Below are 25,159 nucleotides of genomic sequence, written 5' to 3' on the forward strand. Positions count from 1 at the left end.
AGGTTGAACAGGTTATCAACAGGTAGAAGTGTAAAGGGAAGATAAAGTCAAGCAGAGGAAACTTCACATGCTAAGGATCAGATGAAATAGACGCACTGTTCAAGGAACTATAAGCCACTTCTTGGAACGTAAGTGGACGGATGGAACATGAGACTAGAGAGGTACAAGACACCCCATCCGAGTGTACCGACTTGATTAACCACCCAAAGCTGCTTAGGCAAATGTCTGCTTGTCTTTTCTTTTCACCCTTTCAAACATAACTAATTTTGAGAAGCTCTTACCATGTTTTGCATTTTTTAATTCATATTTTGACTGACACTTTAACATAGTATTGTTTAGGAAAAACCAATATTGGCACTGTTTACCAATTATTTGCATGCAAAAATATTTGGCAAGGAAGCCATACTGTCCAGGAGCAACTGCTGTAAATGGTAAGTTAACTACAAAATTGGGCCTAGTATTTCATCCTTTCCTGAATCCATACCCTTTGCAATGTAGCATTGCTGTTCTTCTCATGAAAAGTTGGTATCTATTTCCCTGCTTCTTAAATCTGGGTTGGCATTTGACTCATTTTGACCAACAGAGTGCAATTGAAGTGCTGGCATTTCCTCTCCCAAATGTAGACCTCAAAAGGGCTTGAACACTTTTGCTCTCTTGTTCATGCCTCTGCATTTACCGTAAGAGCACATCAGAGCTAGACAGCAGGAGGATGAGACAAGTGGAACCGAGTCAAGTTGCCCTAGTTGTCCCAGATGAAGTTTTCCCAGACTAGCAGACAGCCAGACATTTCGCAGAGCTGAGCTGAGATCAGCAAAGCCCCTTAGCCAACCCCCAGCTAACTAGAGACACACGAGTAATCCTAGCAGTAAGGTGAAGAACTTCCTGGCTAACATATGTATTTGAAATAGTATGTTGGTTGTTTTAACCTACTGAGTTTCAAGGTGGCTTATTACACAGCAATAGCTAATATGTGTACATACATATGAATATTTGTTTCTACACAGAAGATGTCTGAAAAATTAAGCCACATTATAAAGATATTTATAAAATATTTTTAAAAGAGCCCTAGGAGTTTTTATGAGAAATATCAAGCTAGAAATTATTTTACTGCTGAAATTGAATATGGGCAAAAGTCAGTTTCTAGAGATCTGACTCATGTGCTATTAGAAAAGAACACAGTCATTATATTCCATGCAGTTCCTCCAATGCAATCTTGCAAAAAAGAATTAACGAAGCAATAGTTTTGTCAGTTTCATAGAAATTTTTTAAATACAGTGTCAACCTTAATATATACATACACACACTTTTTTTTGGGGGGGGGTGGGGGGGTGGGGGGGGGGGGACAGAGTTTCACTCTTTCGCCCAGCCTGCAGCGCAGTGGTGTGGTCTCAGCTCACTGCAACCTCCGTCTCCCAGTGTCAAGCGATTCTCCTGCCTCAGCCTTCCAAGTAGCTGGGATTACAGGCGCATGCCACCACGCCCAGCTGATTTTTGTATTTTTTTAGTAGAAACAGGGTTTCACCACATTGGCCAGGCCAGTCTCAAACTCCTGACCTCGTGATCCGCCCACCTCGGCCTCCCAAAGTGCTGGGATTATAGGCCTGAACCACCGTACCCGGCCAACTTTCAAATATTTCTAAAGCTACCTTTCGTAAGACTTAGTGTTTAACTCTTCTGTTGTAGCCACTGTATTGTAAATGCAACTAAGGTTGTATTCCTTGCCCAATATGTTCATTTGACGTTCAATTGGAGAAGTTAAAAAAAAAAAAAAGTTGACTTTATTTTTCTCCCATTTGCTAGATTTTTACTGTCACTTTAGATAAAAAGTGTGTTTATCTTGTTTTCTTCATTATAAGCTATAATTTCCAGTGGTTTATTCAGACATTTCCAAAACAAAAATAGTAAATCAAAAATAGTTCCCTGTGAACTAAAACTGTCACCTTTAGTTAGTGTTTCTAGAAAAATGCATTTTAAAATAAAGTTGAATAAGAGCCAAAGGAAAGTAGAGTTGACAATTTTTTTCTTACAAAGCTCAAAGAAAAAATTTAAAATTGCCCTATGAGAAAATCTTAATAGGTACCTGACATTTCAATAGGAAAAATTAGTTATAACTGCTTAAATAGAAGTTTTTACCAAGAGCTTTATTACATAACTACAAAAGGTACCTAATTCAGTGATTCATCTTTATCAGCAAACATTTGCTAATTGTAAACAATCCTGTACAAAATATTTTTATTTCAAAGAGGTAGCAACTTTCCAAAAATATTGAACCAAAAGGAAATTGAAATGACCTTGGTTTAAAATATCATTATCAGCTTGAAAAGTGGAAACTATCAAATAGTTAACCAACTTTTTAAAAGATTGGTGCTCACTCACCTGGCTGAATGACCTACCTCTTTGAACCTTAAATTTAAATAATGGCTCGGTCCACATTAACCTTCTCTTGATTTTAGACTGTAATATCCAATATGGGAATTTAAGCAAAAACTTAAAGTTACATCAAAAATGGAAAAATATGGAGAGAGGCCAAGATGACCAACTAGGAACAGCTGCAGTCAGAGGCTCCCACTGAGAAGAACCAAAACCGTGAGTGAATCCTGCACCAGCAACAGAGGTGTCCAGGTTCTCTCACTGGGACTGACTAGGCAGTTGGCATGAGAGCGCAAGGAAAAGCAGGGTGGTGCCATGGCCCACCTGGGAGCCAAACGCGACAAGGGAAGCTCCCACTCCCAGCCAAGGGAGGTAGTGAGTGATTGTCCTACCCTGCCTGGGAAATCTTTCTTTTTCCACAGATCTGTGCAACCCGCAGATCAGGAGATCCCACTTGCGAGCCCATGCCAACAGGGCCTTGGGTCTCAAAACACAGCTGTGCAGATTCTCGCAGGCCACTCGGATGGAGACGACTCCTTAAGACTGCTCAGTTTCCGGGGGCGGGGGCGGCCATCATCACTGCAGCTGCCTGTTACAGCAAATGACTGAGCTCTCCCGGGGAGGGGCGGCATCTAAGAGAACTGCCACCTAAGAGAACTGAGCTGCTGTGGGGAGGGGCAGCAGCCATCACGGTGGCTACCGGCTTACTGAGAGGACTGAGCTCCTGTAGGGAGGGCAGCAGCCATCACTGCAGCTCCAGTCCACCATTTTTCCCCTTCAGGTTTGAGGGAGACTGGACAGTTTGAACCCAGGAGGAATTCCCTGCAGTACAGCACACCAGCTATGGCAAATAATGGCCAGATTGCCTCATTAGGCCGGACTCTGACCCATCCCTCCTCACTGGGCAGGGCCTGCTTGCAGGAATTCCAGTAACTCCAGCCAGGGGTTTAGGGAAAGAACTCCGATTCCCCTGGACCTGAGCCCCTAGGGGGAGGGGTGGCCATGGTCTCCGCAGATCAGCGGACTTAGTCTTTACCCTGCTGGCTCTAAAGAATCCGGGAAGCCCAGACAAGTGGGATTCCCCCAGGACAGCAAACCCCCTCGACCAAGGGGCAGCCAGAGTGCTTCCTTAAGTGGGTCCTGGATCCCGTGCACCCTGACTGGGTGAGACCCACCCCCAACAGCAGTCGCTAGACACCTTATACAGGAAGGTTCCTGCTGGCATCTGGTCAGTGACCCTCAGGGACAGAGATACTAGAGGAAGGAGCAGGCAGCCATCTTTGCTGTTCTGCAGCCTCCTTAGGTGACATTTCCAAGTGCAGAAGGGACCCAGGTGAATGGGGTCTGGAGCGAACCCCCAACAAACTGCAGCAGCCCTATAGAAGAGGGACCTGTTAAAAAAGCAAACAGAAAGCAACAACAACAGCATCAACAAAAAAAATCCCAATTAAAACCCCATCCAAAGGTCAGCAGCCTCCAAGATTGAAACTAGACAAACTCATGAAGATGAGAATCAAAAAACAAAAACACTGAAAACTCAAAAAGCCAGAGTGCCTCTTCTCCTGCAAGTGATTGCAACTCCTCTCCAGCAAGGGCACAGAAGTGGACAGAGGCTGAGACGGCTGAATTGACAGAAGTAGGCTTCAGAAGATGAGTAATAACGAACTTTACTGAGCTAAAGGAGCATGGTCTAACCCAATGCAAAGAAGTTAAGAGCCATGATAAAACATTACAGGAGCTGTTAACAAGAATTATCAGTCTAGAGAGTAACATAAATGACCCAAGGGAGCTGAAAAAACACAAGAACTTCACAATGCTACCGCAAGTATCAATAACCAAATAGACCAAGCAGAAGAATGAATTTCAGAGCTTGAAGATTATCTTGCTGAAATAACACCAGCAGACAAGATTAGAGAAAAAAGAATGCAAAGGAATGAATAGACGCAGAAAAGTCTTGATAAAATTCAACATCCTTTCATGTTAAAAACCTTCAGTAGATTAGGTATTGATGGAACATGTCTCTAAATAAGAGCTATTTATGACAAACCTACAGCCAATATCATACTAGATGGGCAAAAACTGGCTGTAGGTTTTGGTATGACAAACCCTTGAAAACCAGCACAAGACAAGGATGCCCTCTCTTACCATTCCTATTCAACACTGTATTGGAATTTCTGGCCAGGGCAATCAGGCAAGAGAAAGAAATCAAGGATAAATAGGAAGAGAGGAAGTCAAACTGTCTCTTCTGTGTATCTAGAAAACTCCATCGTCTCACCCCAAAATCTCCTTAAGCTGGCAAGCAAATTCAGCAAAGTCTCAGGATACAAAAATCAATGTGTAAAAATCACAAGCATTCCTACAACAATAGACAGAGAGCCAAATCATGTATGAACTCCCATTTACAATGGCTACAAAGAGAATAAAGTAAGTAGGAATACAGCTAACAGGCTAAGTGCACCACCTCTTCAAGGAGAGCTACAAACCACTGCTCAAGGAACTAAGAGGACACAAACAAATGGAAGAACATTCCATGCTCATGGATAGAATCAATACTGTGAAAATGGCCATACTGTATAATTTATAGATTCAATGCTATTCCCATTTATCTACCATTGACATTATTCACAGAATTAGAAAAAAAGAAAACTGTTTTAAAATTCATACAGAACCAAAAAGGAGCCCATATAGCCAAGACAATCCTAAGCAAAAATAACAAAGCTAGAAGCCTAATGCTACCTGACTTCAGACTATACTACCCAAAACATCATGGTACTGGTAGAAAAACAGACACATAGACCAATGGAACAGAACCAACATCTTGGAAATAAGATCACACATCTAATACCCAACCAACTGATGTTTGACAAACCTGACAAAAACAAGCAATGGGGAAAGGATTCCCTATTTAATAAATGGTGCTGGGAAGACTGGCTAGCCATATTCAGAAAACTGAAACTGGACACCTTCCTTACACCTTATACAAAAATTAACTCAAGATGGATTAAAGACTTAAACACAAAACCCACTAACTATAAAAACCCTGTAAGAAAATCTAAGCAATACCATTCAGGATATATGCACAGGCAAAGATTTTGATTTCCTGACAAAAACATCAGTCAATTGCAACAAAACTAAAAATTAACAACTGAGATAGAACTAAAAGGCTTCTGTACAGCAAAAAAAAAAAAAAAAAAAAAAAAAAAAAACCACAAAACCCATCATCAGAATGAACAGGCAAACTACAGAATTTTTGCAATCTATTTACCATTAACAAAACATTCTTCCCCTGCATCCTTGCCGTAAGCTTCGACCTCAGCCTTGGATAGACCCACCCTCCTCCAACCTGCAATCTTTTCCCGTGTTTTTTTTCTCTTAATCTTGGTCTATTTTTCCTCTCTGCTTCACCAACAGTTCATCTCCCTATTCTTTCTTCAGTGTCTTCTGAAACCCTAGAATAATTTGAATGGTTGTCTTTATGCCCTCAGTCTCAGCTATTCCATAACAAACTCTCCTTACTTAGAATTTGATCTTCATGTTTGTTTACCTGCAATGGTAAACAGGCTTAAGGCTTGTCTCCTTCCCCCGCCCTCCCCATACTTAAGATCAAGTGGGAGGTTTCTATTTTAACATATTAACTGATGCCTTCCCTCATTCTTGGAAGCTATATATGTGTACTTCCTCAAGCGTGCTACTATAAAAATACAAGGAAAGAGACATCAAGGATCAAATAATGTGTTTCTCAGTAATTCCCTGGAATCTATTGATAAGATTAGAGCCCTGCATTGAAAAATCCTTAGTATATTGAGCACCAATGACATTATCTATCTCGTAAATAAGAGCTGGGAAGATTGTGTAAGATACAGTTTGACTCATTCCAAAGGAAATGTTTTTCAACTTCCAGCTGTTCAACTGGAACAAGAACAGTATTGTAATGGATTATGGTAAGACACAGTCGTTGTTATGAGCTTCTGACAAAGTACTGTATCATTCCACTCCCACTCTGAGACTAAGTTTCAGAAACCCTATATAGGTTTAGAAGAATTCCAGAGTTAAGATGTACCTTGCTTGCTAGAATATGGTTTGGGAGGTCAAATCCACTCAGTCACCCCCTCCCTCCCCATCATAACACTAGCACAGTAGGTTAAGGCATGAATGAGTCAGGTGTCAAAGCAGGCGAGACTGAAAGTATGCTTCTGGGCACTCCAGGCATGATTAAATTGGTATGAAAAGGACACGAGAGAGGACATGATATCCAAGGGCTTGACTGGATCCCAGTCATCGTTGGTGGTGACATGGGGATAGAGACCAACAGACTGAATGATTACTTGTATCAGCAGAAGACTTCAAGAGAGGATGACTATAGGCTTGTCATCCCCGATTTCTGGATGTGACTTAAGTCCCTTTAAATTTAAAGGTTGCTAATGCCATCATGACCAACTACCATTGAACATTTTAACTGATGCTCTGACCTCACAGCTTTTTGACCTGCTAAGCTGCAATGACTTTGATCAATTTGCGTCCATGTTCATGGCCAGTTCATGCTTTCTCACCTACCTCGAACCATCCTACCCCATGGATCACACACAGTGAATTGCTCACTTAAACCACAGTATACTGTTCTTGAAACTTCTGTCCCCTTTTTAAAATTCAAGTATTATCTACAATGTGACAGATATCACATGAGGTTAGATTGAATAATGATTTAGTTTCTGCATTTCTGGAGCTTACTGTCTCAAGAAGATGAACAACAAATAAGAGATGACAACATTTTACATGCTAAGGTAGAAATAAAGTCAACTGAAAAAGAATTTTAAGGCTAAGCTATAGGAAGCCCTTTCTGAAGAGATACAATTCAAGGTATGATCTTAAAAAGGAGATTTTATAAAAAGGGAAGAATTACAGATAGCAGGCACAAGATGCACAAAGGGAAGTAGGGGAAGTGGATGCTAAATGAAGTTAGTGGGCAAAGAAGGATAAGGGGTAAGCCACAGTAGAGATGTTAAACTAAATGTAATAGAGATGCTTTTACAGGCTTTGGGTAGGAGAGATATGATCTAGTTTGTGTTTTATAAAGATCTCTATGGCTCCTGTCAGAAGACATCAAGGAGGGCAAGAGAAGCAATGGAAGACTCCAGTGCCTCATGCATTCATTTTAAAACTCTTAGTGGTGGCTAATCTTATTTAAACTAATCTTAGTGGTGGCTACCACCTCACCATCAGGTAAATCTCCTTCTCTCACTCACTGTTGATCATAATTGCTTTATCAATTGTTAGTCCTGATTTTACCCAGCCTCCGATTCTTTTAGTTCCCTTTTTGATTGCTATGCAATTCCTGAAGTGGTCATATAACCCAGGCCTGTAGGTCCTCAGGACACATGGCATTTCATCACCGACCCTTTCCTGCTTTGCTCAAATGTCAGGGGAATAAGCCCCCCTCCTCCTTTTAAAAGCTGACCCCTAAATATGTGCTTTTGAGATAATTGGCTACCAACATCTCTAGGATTTAATTCTCTTCCCTCCTCGTTCACATACACACAGGCATCTAGATATGGCAGGCAGTAGGCATTAGAGTGAGAGAGCAGACATTGAAGCTACACTCAGGCCTGTTTCTCAGACTTTAGTATATATTAGAACCACCTGGATGAGCCCGTTATGACATGCATTGCCTGTTAATTCTGATCCAAGTGTACAGAGGACTACAATTTTGAGGAAATAATTCTAGGCTCAGCTTTACCACTGATTAAGTAGCCATGAGTACATCAAGGCACATTTCTGAGCATTCATTTCTTATATGAAAATGAAGTAGGTTACAGTGGTTATTCTCTAAGGATACTCTCAGCACTCACAGTCCCCTATTCTGTGTCTAGAATCTAAATAAGGCTAGGAAAAAATGCAAACATAAAATGATAACATTGTAAAAGCTAAGAATAGTTACTAAAAATTAGCCAAAACCCTTTGCTTCTCCAAAGTCGAATAAAAATCAAGTAATGACATGTTATGTATAATTGCCATCAAATAAAAGGAAAGGAATTTTATCTTAGCCTAAGCTAAGGGTAAGATTTTCAATCTGAAGTCCACAGGGACAAGACCAAGAACAGGAACCTAACAAGTCCTTTGCAATGATCTGAATAATGAAACATCCCTTAGATCAGAGTTTCTCAACATTTGTTTGCACATGAAACCTCTGAAGATGTTAGTCAAGTGCAGACTCGTGTGAGGTCTAGGATAGCGCCTGAAAATGTACATTTCTAACAAAACCTCAACTGGTGCTCCTAGATTGCAGACCATAATTTGAGTTGCAAGGCCTTAAGTCTATCCCTCACAGCAGCTGTCATACCAAATTTTCACTTTAACAACAATGAAAACCTTAACAGAAAGTGTTTGGCACTTTCACAAAAGAACAGATAAGCTTTTCATGTCTTTTTCTTAAATCTGTGTTCACCCATTGTTGAGGGTAGAACATTGCGACAAGTTCATTTTTACAGAGAGCCAAAGTAAGATTCCCCAAGGAAGTTTTCTGATATTCTCTATTGATACAAAGATTGAGCTTAGAAAATGTAGAAGAATGAACGGTCAGCATGAGCCTTGAACTCTGGCTACCATCAATTGTTTCCTGCCAAGATGCATCTCTTTTCTTTCCTAAAAACTGCCAGTTTTCTCTCTCGCCTGGCTTGTTTGTGCAAGGATCTTCTTTCTTCTGCCCTTCTCAGCTAGAGTCACTGACACACTCTCCTCCTGTGAGATATGCATCACTCAATACCATGGTAGGAGGAGGAAATTTACAGCAGTTATGATGGACTAGAAATGGCCACAAAATTATTTGACACTTCTTTCATCAAGAGGCAGCATCTAATTCTCCCCTTAAAGCTCGGATTTGTCTTAGCAACTTGTCTGCCAAGTAGAATGCAACGAATATGATGTTATAGGTCTTCCAAGATTAGATCATTATTAGTAACTTTTAGCCTCTTTATGGGTTTCTTAGAATACTCACTCTGGGAGCCCTAAGATGCCATGCATAAAAACTGACTACCCTGAAACCACCATGCTGTAGAAGACATCTACAAGTCCTCTGGTTGACAGTCCCTGCTGAACTGAGCCTTTCAGCCATTCTCACAATGGCATTAAGCATTAAGTGAATCTGTCTTGAACCCTCCAGACCAGCACATCCACTAGCTGAATTCTGCCAAGTGATGTCAACTGACACCACACAGAGTAGAAAAATCAATAAGCTGAACACGGCTGAATTCCTGATTCACAAAATCAGATAAAAAGATAAAAGAGATGTTATTTTAAGCCACTGTACTTGGGGTGTTTTGTTACATAGTAATAGAAAACCAGAAGAGTATCCTAAGCTCCCTCTGGAATGGAGGCTCTGCCTTGAATCACAGCCCTCTCGATCGAGACCTTGATACATGTCCCTCTTCATCGACTCTTGAACTCTTTCTGGTTCCCTGATTTACTATTGCCTATGTTTCTATTTAACAGATTACACCCTGTCTCCCAGCACTCAGTCTCTTCTTAGTTACACCTGAATTTCCCCAGTGCCTGTCCTGCCTAGTCTGTATTTTCTCCTTTTCCTCCAGCCTACACTGCTATAACCTTAGGATACTTTCAACCTGCTGTGAGAAACTCTATGCAAAGTGTTTCCATGATAATTTTCTGCTCTTTTCCCTTCTGTAGGGAGATATGTTTTGGCTATCTCTACCAGTTTATCTACTTCTAATTTCACTTTAATCCAGTGCCAGGCCCGGTTGTAAGCACCGAAGAATAAATGAATGACTATTGGATAAGTGAATTAGTGAGTGAATGAATAAATAAATACATCAATGCATTTATAGGTTATGGTCTACTACTCCACTGAAATTGTTACTTTAAAATTAGTCAAAGCAACCAGAAAACCGAATGGTCTTTTCTCAGACCCCAAGTAAATTTCAATTCAATCACTGCCTTTGGTCAATGTAGTCACCTCCTTAAAAACTGTTTTTCTTGCTGCTTCTGTGACCAGACACTTTACAGTTTCCTGTGACTTCTCCTAACACTTCTTTGCTGGCTTCTCTATATCTGCACGTATTTAAATGTGAATTCTCCAAGACTTGGTTTTGGGTTCCTTTTTAACTGTGTATAATATCCTTTTGCCGTATCATCTGCCCCCATGGCTTAAACTCCATATTGATTACCCCCAAACCATTTTCTTTAGTTGTGGTATCTTGCCTATGATACTTTCTCACTGCTACACCTATCAAACACACACTGATTTCCCTCCTCAGATCCAGACATATTTTCCGGAGATTATTGGATATCCCATCAATACATCAAAGACAATATATCCCAAATACAAATCACTTCCCCATCATAGTTTTGCTTATTTCTATTTCTAACCATATCCAATGATACCACCATCCTCTCAATTTTTCAGCCCTAAGACATAAGTTATTTTCACCTCATTCTTGCCACATCCTTTAATTACATCAATACTGATATCCCTGTTGTCTCTAGATACAAAATGTCAGTTATAATAAACTCTAAAATGGTTTCTTCACCTATAATCCTCAAATCTTGACAGTTATCCAATTTAGTCTATGTAGTACAACTAGTTATTTTCCTAAACCGTTCTTGTAAGTACTCCAACCACAGTTGCCCCCTAGTGCTTTCTTATTCTGTAGATTGTATTTTTGTGTTCTAGCCTTCCACTCCACCAACACCTTTCTTCAAGGCTCTGTTTGAATGAATTCTTGATTCCCATGTGCCTTGCCATTCCTTTATAACCAACTCCAAAAAAAGTCCCTCCTGATCTTGCGGTCTCTCGGTCATTTGTTCATGTCCCTTAATGACATATTGTCATTATCTGACTTGAAGTTGTTGTAGGTTTCCTCACTACTTTATGAGCCCCTGGCTGAAAGATATTTTTTTTTAATCCCCTACTAAAACTAGCATTGTCTATTGCACATAGTGAATGTTCCGTGTTTCTTAAATTTGGAGCTGTTGAACAGTTTCAGTTTTCAGCTACATTCACTTTTTGACTGAGTTGTACCATAGGTGACACTAATCTGTGCCAAATGGGGCACATTTAAACTACTTACACTATTACTTTAATGTTTTCATTGAACGCAGGAATCTTTGTAGCCTCTAGGTACATTTAAACTTTAAGATAAAAATTATATTCTGTCAAATGATTTATAATCAATACCATTGCCAATTAAAATCAAATAATAGACACAGAAGTGCCTCAAAGCTTCAACTAAGATAGACACAAAGGGGTGCCAGTGGATAACAGTGTTATTTCATAATCACAGCTTCCCTTTTCCCTCTAGCAATTATTCTGATGCAGAATCAGTCTTAAGAGGTTTCTGCAGCTAGATGTAAACAAAGAAGTATCATTACAAAACTCACTTGACTACACTTCTGACACCCTGGTTGGGGAAATGTATATGGATTGATATGTCTGACTGACAAGAACTCAAAATTTAAATGATCCCTTGTCCAAGAGCCCTGTGGTTATCATTTAGAATTCATCTGCACAAGTCATTAAGTATACTCTTTGGAAAACTATTTTGTTCCGGAAAAATGTAAAGTCAAGAAGCAGGAATGCTAACATTTGAAAAAAGCTTCTTTAATAATGCTATAATTCTGAACTTTTTGTTTATATTAGAAAATATTTTTTCTTTTAACTCTAGCTATAGTACAATTAGAGATGTTTCAAAATTATTCAGGTAAGTGCTTAATTGGGTCCACGTAATCTTCTGAAAGTTAGCCCTTTAGAGGTTATAGCCAAAAAATCGTGTTTTATCCAGATCCACTAAGATTCCATTAACACTTCTGCGTGCCCACCTCCTTGGCTTTTGTGGTCTTTGCTTCTCAAAACTTCTGTATCTACATCTCTTTAGATGACTGTCTTCAGGCTAGTAAAGCTGCTTTGCCAACAAAAACAGAGATCCGGAAGTGCCTTGGTGTTTATGTCACCTTAGGGTAGTCTTAAGGCAATGACTGGTGACTACTGGAATACAAAAGCCCAGCTCCTTCTGTATCAAGTTGCAACAAGCTGAAGCATAGTTTAGGCCCAGGTTTTCCTGCAGAACCAGACTGAGGCTGGCACTTTGCCTGCGATTGCTCCTTGCATGATTTCTTCCCCATTCCTATTCTACTTCTCTTGCTCACCTACTTGCCATCCCTGAGAACATTTCCTTAATTAAACTACTTTCATGCAAATTCTCCTCTCCACATGGGCTTTACCAAAACCCAACCTGAAACATAAGCATTCCTCTAATTACAGTAATAAAGGCATCAGATTTCTATTTGAAAATACTAGGAATGGGCCGGGCGCGGTGGCTCACGCCTGTAATCCCAGCACTTTGGGAGGCCGAGGAGGGCGGATCACGAGGTCAGGAGATCAAGACCATCCTGGCTAACACGGTGAAACCCCATCTCTCTCTAATAAAAAGACAAAAATTAGCCGGGTGTAGTGGCGGGCGCCTGTAGTCCCAGCTACTCGGGAGGCTAAGGCAGGAGAATGGCATGAACCTGGGAGGCGGAGCTTGCAGTGAGCCGAGATTGCTCCACTGCACCCCAGCCTGGGCGACAGAGTGAGACTACGTCTCAAAAATAATAAAAATAATATGGTGTTAAACTGATTAATCTTTAACTTCGACAGAATGTTAGAGTTCAAACCTGTAGCTCTATGGAGGTTTTGATTACCATTATAATCCATTAACACAATATGTTACTAAGATAGCATTTCAGAGCACAGTATGATTTTCTTGTAGCTATACTACAAAACTACAATACTACAGTATCTGTATTACTTTAGAAAATCTCTAAAAAAGTTGTGAATTATACTGCCAATGGTTTGATTAGATAGAATCTTACTGATTTTTAAATAATATCAAATTTTTCCATCTCTAATCATGAAAAGAGTGGTGAGGTAGGGCAGGATAAATCGTAATATTGGGGCCAGGTGCAATGGCTCATGCCTGTAAGCCCAACACTTTGGGAGGCTGAGGCAGGTGGATCACGAGGTCAGGAGTTCGAGACCAGCCTGACCGAGATGGAGAAACCCCATCTCTATTAAAAACACAAAAATTAGCCGGGCACAGTGGCAGGTACCTGTAATCCCAGCTACTGGGGAGGCTGAGGCAGGAGAGTTGCTTGAACCCGGGAGGCGGAGGTTGCATTGAGTTGAGACAGCACCACTGCACTCTAGCCTAGGCGACAGACCAAGACTACGTCTCAAAAAAAAAACAAAAAACAAAAAACAAACAAAAAAAAAACAACTAATATTTGTATATTAATATAAACTCCTGAATCCCTCATGACATAATATCCATGTGTATCAAGCCTTTTTATTCCTGCATCTGTTACCGTTATTCTCCCTATGCCTCTCACAGCCAGAAGGAAAACTGAAAGTCTACTATCTTCCTTTTGGTAAAAATTTGAAAAGAAGGGCATTCAGGTAGAGATGGCATTTATTAATGCCAGTGACTGCGGCAGACTGTTCTTGGGCCGCTGGGAAGCCTGTGGTGATAAACAGCATTGGAGGAAGAAAGAGTCACCATTTACATATGGCACATGACTCTCATCACAGCTTGTGTTGCTTATTCACCAGTTTGACTTTGCCCTTGCCAAAAGGTTAGACAACCTCTGCTATGCCCTCCTCATCCTACTGGCAAATTACCACTTTGTTCCCATTTTATGAAATTATTGAATAAAGATCACCATTAATATTTGTCTTTTTTAATACCAGTTATTGACAAGTGATCGTCGTTCATTCAAAAAATATTTATTGAATGACAGTTAAAGAGCCTTTACTGTATTTTAATTTCCAATAAACATATATGTGTCACATATTTTTAAAAATATGGAGAAGTTCAGCGTTTTTGTTTTGCTTTACTTTGGTAGGTTAATGCCTGATGTTCATAATCTTTTCCAGTTCAACAGGCTGGGTGAGTGGTATGGTACCATAAAAAGGATGATCAGCTGGAAATCAAGACCTTCAATCTCTACTTCCATTCCCTCTAACAAACAGCCATGGCATGTTGTCATTTAATTCTGAGAGAGCTTCATTTCCACATCTTCAGAAAGACAGAACAATGCTAGATGTACTTGCATGTATTCCAATAGTGATTGCCTTTCAGACCTTCCTCTTCTCCCATTTGAATAGACATTAGCCTCATGAGTGACCTCCACACCTGTACTCTCCCCATACACGATTCTGCATATAGCCACCAAATGTAACTTTCTAATATGCAAAACATAAAAAAAAACTTCCTGGTTTTTTTGAACACATTCATCTCAATTGAGCAAGGAATCATCCATCCACATTGTATCCCCAGTCCACCTTTCCCGCATCCTTTTCAATTTTTTGCCAATTGCCCATATCCCAAAACCTCCATTACGGTCATGTCAAACTACTTACTGGTTCCTGAACTCAATTGGTTTGTGACTTCATACTCCTCAGCATTTTTTTTTTTTTTTAATCAGCCAATAGGCTGAAAGCTCCAACAGGGCCAAAAAAAAAAAAGCCTTTTTCAGCTTAGTCTTCTTAGCAACTAACTGATTGTCTGCCTATAAAAGATGTTTAATCAATGTTTGGAAGAGATGGACTTGAATGGCCTGTTGTACTCTTGTTGGCATGAAAATCCCTTTAAGTTTCTAGTCTATAGTTGATATCAATTTCAACCCCAATACAACCCTAGCCAAGCAAAATTCGTCTCTTCTTCCTTCTGCTCCCATGCATACCCCCGTGGTAGGACATACTATATAGTCTTGTAATTGCTTTTGATTGCTTTTGAAATACCTATTTTTCCCATTTATATGCCATCTCTTAACTACAGTGCCAGGTATATGGCAGAATCTCAAAACTGAGTTAAAAAGACTAAGATTTCTGGGCTAGGCGCAGTGGCTCACGCCTGTAATCCCAGCACTTTAGACGGCCGAGGTGGGAAGACCACCTGAGGTCGGGAGTTCGAGACCAGCCTGACCAACATGGAGAAACCTCATCTCTACTACAAATACAAAATTAGCCAGGTGTGGTGACGCATGCCTGTAATCCCAGCTACTCAGGAGGCTGAGGCAGGAGAATCGCTTGAACCCAGAAGGCGGAGGTTGCGGTGAGCCGATATTGCGCCATCGCACTCCAGCCTGGGCAACGACAGCAAAACTCCATCTCAAAAAAAAGAAAAAGAAAAAAACTAAGATTTCTTTCAAACCTGTAATCTGATGATGATTGTATGCAATTCTTTTTAAAAAGCTAAAAATCTTAGATTGAGTTATTTATGAATACAAACAGGTATGAAGCAGAAACCACGAAGGCAGCTGGCAAAAAATACCAGAGTAAGTACAGCTAGGAACTGTAGATGCCAGTGTCAGTCTACATCTTTGAACTGTATGAAAGAGCCTATTGGACACTAAGTATTTATCAAATTCTTTCTCTTTGAAGCTAGTTCTAAAAACAATAGAAACAAAAGGAATTTTAGCTAACTTGCTTTACCTTGGCTACAGAATATTTTAAATCTAACATTCCAAATAGTTCTTAAAGTATTCTGAACTGGTTTCTTTCTGTGAAGACAATTATGATTTCTGAGTCTATGAATAATTGTATACTTACGCAATGTTAGGACAGTATTATCTGTAAAATGATTTGATGTTCAATATTTCTACTATTAATCTTGGAAAAGTAAAAAATATCTTCTATCAGAGGAAATCTAACACTCTCAAAAATAAGTTAAATATGATACAATGGCAGTTCTACAACATCCAGATATTCAATAGTAGGCAGCAATTATTACTTGCCATAATTCACATCTTTGAAAAATTCAAGAGGGCAAACTAATTTTGCCAATGTGAAGGAGCTGTAAGAAAAATTATGCTTTAATGGAAATATAAGATGTTTTTGTTGCCTTAAGTATTGCTTTTTAATCCTTGAAATTCAGTCAAATACTTAATAATTATTTTCCATATATCTTATTAGACATATTAGCACTCATGCTGGTTAGAGATTTTATCTTCCTCAGAGCCATACCAACACACCCTTCTAAACCCTACTTTGCAACGCTGAGGCAAAGACTCTGCAAACCGTACTTCTGGCTTTACTGACTGACTCTCAGAATCTAAAGGTAGGGAGCAATAGAGGGAGACTGCAAGCCTGGAGGAGGGACAAAGGATTTACTCATTCACACTAGCTTCCCATGCACTTACTGTCCTTATTAGCAGTTCCCTAGACGTGCTTCTTCATGCCTGCAGCAGCACTTTTTAGTAACAAGCTATTCAATTTAGCTTGTGTTTTGTTTTTCAAAAGCTTAGAGAATCAGCTTCATCGCCCCTGCTGCAGAAATACCAGCACCACCTGGCTGGCAGAGGTCCGGGCCTCAGTCCCATTGGGCCCTTCCTGCTATCCCAGAGAGGGTAGCACCAGCCACGTAGCAGCCCCCTACTCAGACCTGAGCTCAGCTTTGTAGAGTCCTTCCTCAAGGGTTCTAAGTGTTAGTAATTCTAACCTTTTGTCTTCCCAGCCCTAGGAGCGGTAGCTACTTTGTGCACTTGCTACCTCTTCTCTTTGTCAATTTTTCAATACCTAGATCCCAATTCCTCTTGTTACATTATTTTCTGCTACAGTCACTCAAGTGGTTTCTGTCTGTTAACTGACCCTGGCTGACACATCATCCCAAACCCAAAACTTGTCACTATCAAAATGGAAATACATTAAGTGTTGGGTCTGTGTTTAATGGGTAAGGATGATTTCTCATTCTTCCAAAGACCACATATTATATTCCACTATTGTTTTCTACTACTTTTATAAAATAATGACTAAATATAGATATACTTCAGTACAAGGATATTTGATCTTCTGGACAGCCGTATCCATATGTGCATTCTTTCTGTAGATGGAACTCAGTTGTATTAGAGTCAAAAACTTTTTTAAAAATTCTAACCATGGACAGTTGAATCAAATCTAGCCCTGTAGTTATTTTTCAAAGTCAACATGAATAGTAAAAAATAAAATATTGTCAAAAATCCACCTGGAAAATTGCTATACCATCCATACTATACACATAATATGGATTAGATTTTAAATACTGCGTAGTCACCTCCTGCACACCAAAGTTTAGGAAGACATTGAGCTAAACTCAAAGAGCAAAAAGCCAGAGTGTATGCAGCTTTCTTAACATGCAATTCTTCCTGCCTCTAAGGTAAGCCCTAGATTGTTTTCTTTACCTGCAGGGCTTTCTGCAGTATGTCTTAATAGTAAAGATAATCCAGCACAGCATTTGTAATATGCTTGTGATCAAGAATGGATGGAAACAGGATGGTATAGTCCTAACTTAAGCATGTAAATTAATTGCATCTCATAATGTCAGCCAATCCACACTCTTAGTCATACAGATTAAAGAACCAAAAGGAACCCAAGGAAATCAGAAAGGGTAATTCTGCTTAGAAAGTTGCTCTTACATTTCATATACATGGTTGAAGTTTGACCTCAAAAAAAGAAAAATCAATTTCAGGCACTGAACGGCAATTGTGTAACTTATTTATTAAATTTATAATACAATGAAATCTGAGTTTTCTATTACTCTCATTTCTTATTTGGACACTGGTAATTGCTTCTTTCTTATGCATTTTTAAAGTATAAATCCTGATACTAGCTGGCACTACCCCAATATTTTTTCCCTTTAACTTTGGAATTTTCCTTTTAAAAAATTGTCATTCTAGAGTTAACATGCTACCAGCTTTTCACAAATTAAATTTGTTGTTAGAAAATGGCTTCCATGGCCAGGCGCGGTGGCTCACGCCTGTAATCCCCGCACTTTGGGAGGCCGAGCCAGGTGGATCACGAGGTCAGGAGTTCGAGACCACCCTGGCTAACACGGTGAAACCCCGTCTCTACTAAAAATACAAAAAATTAGCCGGGCATGGTGGCGGGCACCTGTAGTCCCAGCTACTTGGGAGGCTGAGGCAGGAGAATGGCGTGAACCCGGGAGGCAGAGGTTGCAGTGAGCCGAGATCATGCCACTGCACTCCAGCCTGGGTGACAGAGCAAGACTCTGTTTCAAAAAAAAAAAAAAAAAAAAAAAAAAAAGAAAATGACTTCCATTTTATCCAAAATTTAGGCTCTTAAAAATGTATCCCTTTTCATGATATTCTTAATATTAATGTTCTGTAGATGTTCTATAGAGGCACTTGAAATAAACTCAACATATCTAATAAAGACAGAAATGGAAAGGTAAGTACATAGGTTTTCTGGTTTTGATGTACTCTATCCCTTGCCTGTTTTTTCTTGACCAATACATACAATGTTACTTAAACATGCCATCCTCAATATTCCCAATGTCCCCTATACTAAGACTAGTCTTGACCCCAGACTGAAGGAACTTAAAGTTCCCACTAGGAAATAGTAGGGTGACATAGGAAAGTAACTCATCCGAAAAGATTTTCTTTAGTGGTTCAACCTATACAAACATACCACCCAGGGAATACAGCAGGCCCAGTGATAATTCTAGACATATTCAACATAATGATTTCCAATCAGGTAGGCAGGAAATGAGGAAAAGCTGTTGAGTGACAGTTAAGTGGCAGGGAAATATATAATTAACCAATCAATTTAACAACAATTAGTTAAAAGCGGTACCAACAGCTACTTTTATTGAGCCCTTACTATGGGCCAGGCACTTTATATACATCATCTAACTTAATATTCACCAAAAAATTCAGGAAGGCAATATTTGTCAATATTTTGAATTTTATTTTTTAAACCAATGGAGAGTCTGACAGAAAATTTGAACAAGTTGCACCAAGTCCTAAAACTAACAGATGTTGCTGGAATTGGAACCAGGACCATGTGCTACAGTAACTTGCTCAAGTTTCTACTAAGCTATGCTCCACTCTACGCAACTCTAAGTTTCATCAATACACTGGAACTCATTTCATATACTCATTCCCCTTAGTCTATTACCATGAAATACACTAGGTTCAAACTTGCAATAAGAAATCATTAAGGGACTCATCACCTTACAATTCCAAGTACAGACAAGTGTGGAAATGATCCTACCAAACAAGGAGAAGTGTATCACTGTCGCCTTTACATCTTCTCAGGATGTTAACTTTATCTCCAGCTTAATGACAAGCACAAATTCTTGTAGTTCTTAAATTTCAGGCTGTTCTTTAGTTTTATAGTACATATTTAACTGTATTTATACCCATGCCTGAGAAAATGCTGTGTCTTATAAAGTCATATAATGCTGAAGGTCAAGGAATATGCTCTTGCCAGATTTGTAGGGATCCTAGCCTAGCACCACTCACACGTAATCATTTATTAAAAATTATTTTTCTGATCATGATGCTAATCTGTTCAGAGTCATAGGCCCATAAAGACAATATTTCCTATGGGTTAAGATGTGCTAATCTCATTAACTGAACAAACCAGAATGAATTTAATCACAGCAGTCAAGGGAAGCTACCGCATCATTCCAAGACAAATTAGAGATATTGTACCCCTGTGGTGTTATCTTTGATTTCGATTAGAGGTTTCAGGCTGCTTCCTATGGCTAGATTCAAAATATTAAGCCTACTAAAGAGAATGAAAGGTAAGTTTATGACTTTGCATCTTGGAACTGCACTACTGATAACTGCAAAGCCTAAGGCTTTGAAGAGAAATGACAAAAAAAAGTCAATCATATTTTCATAAATATTAAGCTTCCCAATTGTATATAAATATAAAGAAAACATGCACATTACTTTTTAAAATGATTCAGGAGATAAACTACTGGTATAAGTGATCATGTTATCACTAAATCTCATGAAAAATATATTAAGCTATAACGATTAGCCTGCTTTTAAAAATGTGTATGAAAGTCAGTTATTAAAAGCTAGATGATGTTGTTAAATAAAGAAACTTACAATGTGTTGAAATTTCCCTATTGGAGAATTATAAAACAAATAAAATAGTGTTTTTCTGATGCATCACATAAAATGTAGAAGCGAAATTTGAGGGTTTAGAATATTTCAATAAAATATTAAATGCCTGGGCAGTCTCCGTAATTGTTTCCCTTGAGGGGGAAAAAAAAAAAAAAAAAAAAAACCTTTCCTTTCAGGTAGTAGGCACACAGTTTTACTCACCCCTTGTCTCTCCAAATCTAGACTCCAAATATATATTAGTCACAATAAAACTCACATTCTTATTCTGCTTGACTAATTTGTAGTCAAGCTGAATACAATTCAGTGGAAACTGAATATGAAATAAATTCATCTAATAAAAAGGTACCAATGACTGTATAACAACATATGTAGATAAAAGTGTATCATATATAAAACATTCAATCCCACATGGCAGCTTTCCTGGAATATAAAATCATTTTATCATTATGGGTATTAGCTCATGAAGTCAGTATTATTTTAAAAACATGCTAAGAATGTTAGCTTCAAAATTTAATATCTCAAAAGCAGGATTTTGGTTATACCAAGTGGTTTATAAAATAGAGATATTTATCCATACACAGTTTTATGTGACAATTTAGGTGTCCTTATAGCTTCTTGGTGGGCAGTGTAAACTGGTAAAAAATAATAATAATAATAATTTTGCTAAGTATTTTTGCGATACATATAAAGACCCTTTAAAAAATGTTAATATCCTGGCTGGGCACGGTGGCTCAAGCCTGTAATCCCAGCACTTTGGGAGGCCGAGGTGGGAAGATTACAAGGTCAGGAGATCGAGACCATCCTGGCGAACACGGTGAAACCCCGTCTCTACTAAAAATACAAAAAGTTAGCCAGGCGTGGTGGCAGGCGCCTGTGGTCCCAGCTACTCGGGAGGCTGAGGCAGGAGAATGGCGTGAACCCAGGAGGCGAAGCTTGCAGTGAGCCGAGATCGCGCCACTGCACTCCAGCCTGGGCGACAGAGCAAGACTCCGTCTCAAAAAAAAAGGTAATATCCTTTGACCTAATAATTTCATGCGCTGGAAGCTGTCTAAAAGGAAACAAAATGGTCTACTGGGTTATTTAGAACAACAAAAATAAAAAACTAAATGCCTAACTTTAGAATAAGTGGTCATTATGTGAACATTTAAAGTGTGTCTATAATAACCTAAAATCACTTATGTGATAGTAAAAAAGGGTGAAAAGTCATAAATATAGCACGATCACATCTAAATAAATAGCAGAAAACCCTCATTTCGGGTAAAAAGGAACCCAATGAAATATGCCAAAATGATAACAATGACTTTAAGTGAGAATATGGTTAATTTTGTTTCCTTTTACTTCTTCCATTCAATTGGGAATATTAATAATTGGACCCTTACAGCTGGGCATGGTGGCTCACACCTGTAATCCCAGCACTTTGGGAGGCTGAGGCGGGCAGATCACGAGGTCAGGAGATCGAGACCATCCTGGCTAACACGGTGAAACCCCGTCTCTACTAAAAATACAAAAAATTAGCCGGGCGTGCTGACAGGAGCCTGTAGTCCCAGCTACTTGGGAGGCTGAGGCAGGAGAATGGTGTGAACCCGGGAGGCGGAGCTTGCAGTGAGCCGAGATCCCATCACTGCACTCCAGCCTGGATGACAGAGCAAGAATCCATCTCAAAAAAAATAAATAAATAAAAAGAAAATTGGACCCTTATCTGTTATATACAAGAATCGACTCAAAATGGATTAAAGACTTACAGGTAAAACCTGAAACTAAAACTACTAGAAGAAAACATGGACTATGAGAGGTGGCTCATGCCTGTAATCCCAGTACTTTGGGAGGTTGAGGCGGGCAGATCATGAGGTCAGGGGTTTGAGACCAGCCTGGCAAACATGGCGAAACCCCGTCTCTACTAAAAATACAAAAATTAGCCGGTCGTTGTGGTGAGCGCCTGTAGTCCCAGCTACTCAGGAGGCTGAGGCAGGAGAATCACTGGAGCCCGGAAGGTGGAGGTTGCTGTGAGCCTAGACCGCACCATTGCATTCCAGCCTGGGTGACAAAGCAAGACTGTCTCAAAAAAAAAAAAAAAAAAAAAAAAAAAAAAACATCAACTAAAAGCTTATGACATTGGTCTGGGCAAGGATTTTTTGGATATGAACCCAAGAGCATAGGCAACAAAAATAAAAATAGACAAATGAAGTTGCATCAACCTAAACAGCTTCTGCACAGCCAAGGAAATAATCCCTTTTCAGGTATATGGTATACAAATATTTTCTCCTGCTCCATGAGTTGTCCCTTCACTCTGATTAATATCCAAAAATATATAAGAAACCTTAAACTCAATAGCAATACAACAACCCAATTAAATATGGGCAAAGGACCTCAACAGACTTTTTTTTTGAAATAAAAAAGCTTTTAAAATATGACAAAGTAAAATCACAGTGGCAACTGTGATTAAGGAACTGAATTTTTATTTTTTATTTTTTTTAAGTTCTGGGATACATGTGCAGAACGTGCAGGCTTCTTACATAGGTATACATGTGCCATGGTGGTTTGCTGCATCTATCAACCCGTCATCTAGGTTTTAAGTCCTGTGTGCATTAGGTATTTGTCCTAATGCTCTCCCTCCCCTTGCTCCCTACGCCCCCACCCCCACAGGCTCCGGTCTGTCATGTTCCCCTCCCCGTGTCCATGTCTCAACGAGCATGTCTTAAGGGAAACAAATGGACAACAGGTATATGACAAAATGCTTATCATTAGTCAGGTAACTGCAAATTAAAACAATATGCTATCACCCCACACCTGTCAGAATGGCTATTCTCAAAAAGACAAAGGATAACTAGTGTTGGTGAGAATATGGAAAAGAGGGAAACCTTGGACCCTTAATGGGAACATAAATAGGTACAGCCATTATGGAAAACAGCAGGAAGTTCTTCAAAAAAAAATAAAAATAGAACTACCATACAATCCAGCAATCTCACTACTGGGTACATACCTAAGGAAATGACATCAGTATATCAAGTAGATATCTGCACACCCGTGTTTATTGTGGCAGTATTCACATTAGACAAGATATGGAATCAACCTAAGTAACCATCAACAGATGAACGGATTCAAAAATGTGGAATATACACACAATGGAACACTATTCAACTTTAATAAGAAAATCCTGTAATTGGGAACAATGTGGTTGAACCTGGAGGATTTTGGAGTTTTCAAATTCTCAAGTCCAGGCACGGAAAATTATAATTTTTTTTTTTGGAAAAAAATGTGAAATATAGACACTATTTTCTCCGTCTCTGAGCCTAGATACTATTTTCCTGGACTGGATGGAGAATGTAAAGTAGAAACAAGAGTGTGTTCCTGAGAGGAGGGGATGGTGAAAGAACCGCCACCACAACAGAGAAGGTTGGGGGTATCCAGGTGCAGAAGTAATTGGGTCCCATTCCAGAGTCCAGCCCAGGAATGCAACAAGACTCCAAAGTTATGTCAGACCCAGGCAAGAATCGTGAGCATGTGTCTTAGCAAATGGACATGAGCTAGCCACCCAGTACCCAGGCACTTCAGCAGGATATAGGGTACAGTAGAATAATTTCCCACATGCCTCCAGCAAACACAGTGCTCAATGGGTTTTTGGAGGATGAAGAATGACAAGGGAACCACCATGTTTCTTGACCGTACAGAGATATGAAAGGGCCTACAACTTGAGGCCAAGGAACAAGGTCCCTATGGGATGAATTGTACATGAAATCAGGTAAGCCACACCCGCCTTCAAATCCTGGCACTGTATCAGTGTCAGGACTCTGAGCTAAGCCATCATATCCCCTGTGACCTGCCCTTATACATCCAGATGGCCTGAAGCAACTGAAGATCCACAAAAGAGTGAAAATAGCCTTAACTGATGACATTCCACCATTGTGATTTGTTTCTGCCCCACCCTAACTGATCAATGTACTTTGTAATCTCCCCCACCCTTAAGAAGGTTCTTTGTCATTCTCCCCACCCTTGAGAATGTACTTTGTGAGATCCACCCCCTGCTCGCAAAACATCGCTCCTAACTCCACCGCCTATCCCAAAACCTGTAAGAACTAATGATAATCCCACCACCCTTGGCTGACTCCTTTTTCAGACTCAGCCCACCTGCACCCAGGTGAAATAAACAGCCTTGTTGCTCACACAAAGCCTGTTTGGTGGTCTCTTCACTCGGAGGGGCGTGACAATCAGGTCCCCTCCAGAAATTTAAGACAAAACCCCAGAGAAAGGGGGGGCATCTCAGTCCTAAATTGGCTGAGATGAAATATGCAGGATCTACCGGAAAGTAGGCTTTATATATAAATTAAGTTCAGATTCAAGAAAAGGCAGTTATTGAGATTCACTGCCACTGCATGTAGATCCTTATGTGGGGATTTCTAAGAATCATTGTCCAGCACCTAAACTGCAAAGCAAACCGGTAATAAATCAGACAACAATTAAGAGCCAAGTCATCTTGAGACAAGAGCTCAGGACTCAGAGAAGCAGCCTGCAAATGTGAAATGGACATTCAGAAGTCAGTGAGTTTCTGAACTAGCAGTGCCCGGTTACGAAGCTGTTGAAGAGCCTTGTGGACTGCTTTATATGTTCTGGGTAGTTCCATAGGTCCTCGCAGAAAGAGAAAATAAACCTTTCGTTGAAATTAACCTTAGACCTAGATTCTTAAAGGACTCAAACTTTTCGCGGGGAAGGAAAGGCCAGTCTATTGACAGGAGCTGTAGATATTAAGGCCTGTGGGGGGTGGGGGAGGGGGACTCATTATCTGGGAAAAGCCACACCCTTAATCCATCATAAACAGTGATGCCTGGGGCACAGTTGAGACTACACCTTGGAGGAAGAATCTAGGTTTTTCCTATCCAACTCCAAAAGA

At 39.8% G+C, this 25,159-nt stretch overlaps 1 protein-coding gene across 17 annotated transcripts in view, besides 2 other annotated features; it reads right to left on the reverse strand.

The window, feature by feature from the left end:
• The window catches only part of DMD (dystrophin), a 2,220,167-nt gene that overhangs the window by 1,746,191 nt on the left and 448,817 nt on the right, over window positions 1–25,159 (reverse strand).
• Window positions 12,074–12,575: an enhancer, noted in NCBI's record as "NANOG hESC enhancer chrX:32895603-32896104 (GRCh37/hg19 assembly coordinates)". NCBI's record gives its function as "activates a minimal SCP1, AML or CMV promoter by ChIP-STARR-seq in naive H9 embryonic stem cells {active_cell/tissue: H9 hESC(naive)}" and the evidence as "EXISTENCE:reporter gene assay evidence [ECO:0000049][PMID:30033119]".
• Window positions 23,991–24,156: a silencer, noted in NCBI's record as "fragment chrX:32907520-32907685 (GRCh37/hg19 assembly coordinates)". NCBI's record gives its function as "represses an EF-1alpha promoter that drives an FKBP-Casp9 reporter gene in an ReSE screen in phorbol 12-myristate 13-acetate-treated (for megakaryocytic differentiation) K562 erythroleukemia cells {active_cell/tissue: K562(+PMA)}" and the evidence as "EXISTENCE:reporter gene assay evidence [ECO:0000049][PMID:32094911]".

Source organism: Homo sapiens, chromosome X, assembly GCF_000001405.40.
Source record: "Homo sapiens chromosome X, GRCh38.p14 Primary Assembly".
Lineage (NCBI taxonomy): Eukaryota > Metazoa > Chordata > Mammalia > Primates > Hominidae > Homo > Homo sapiens.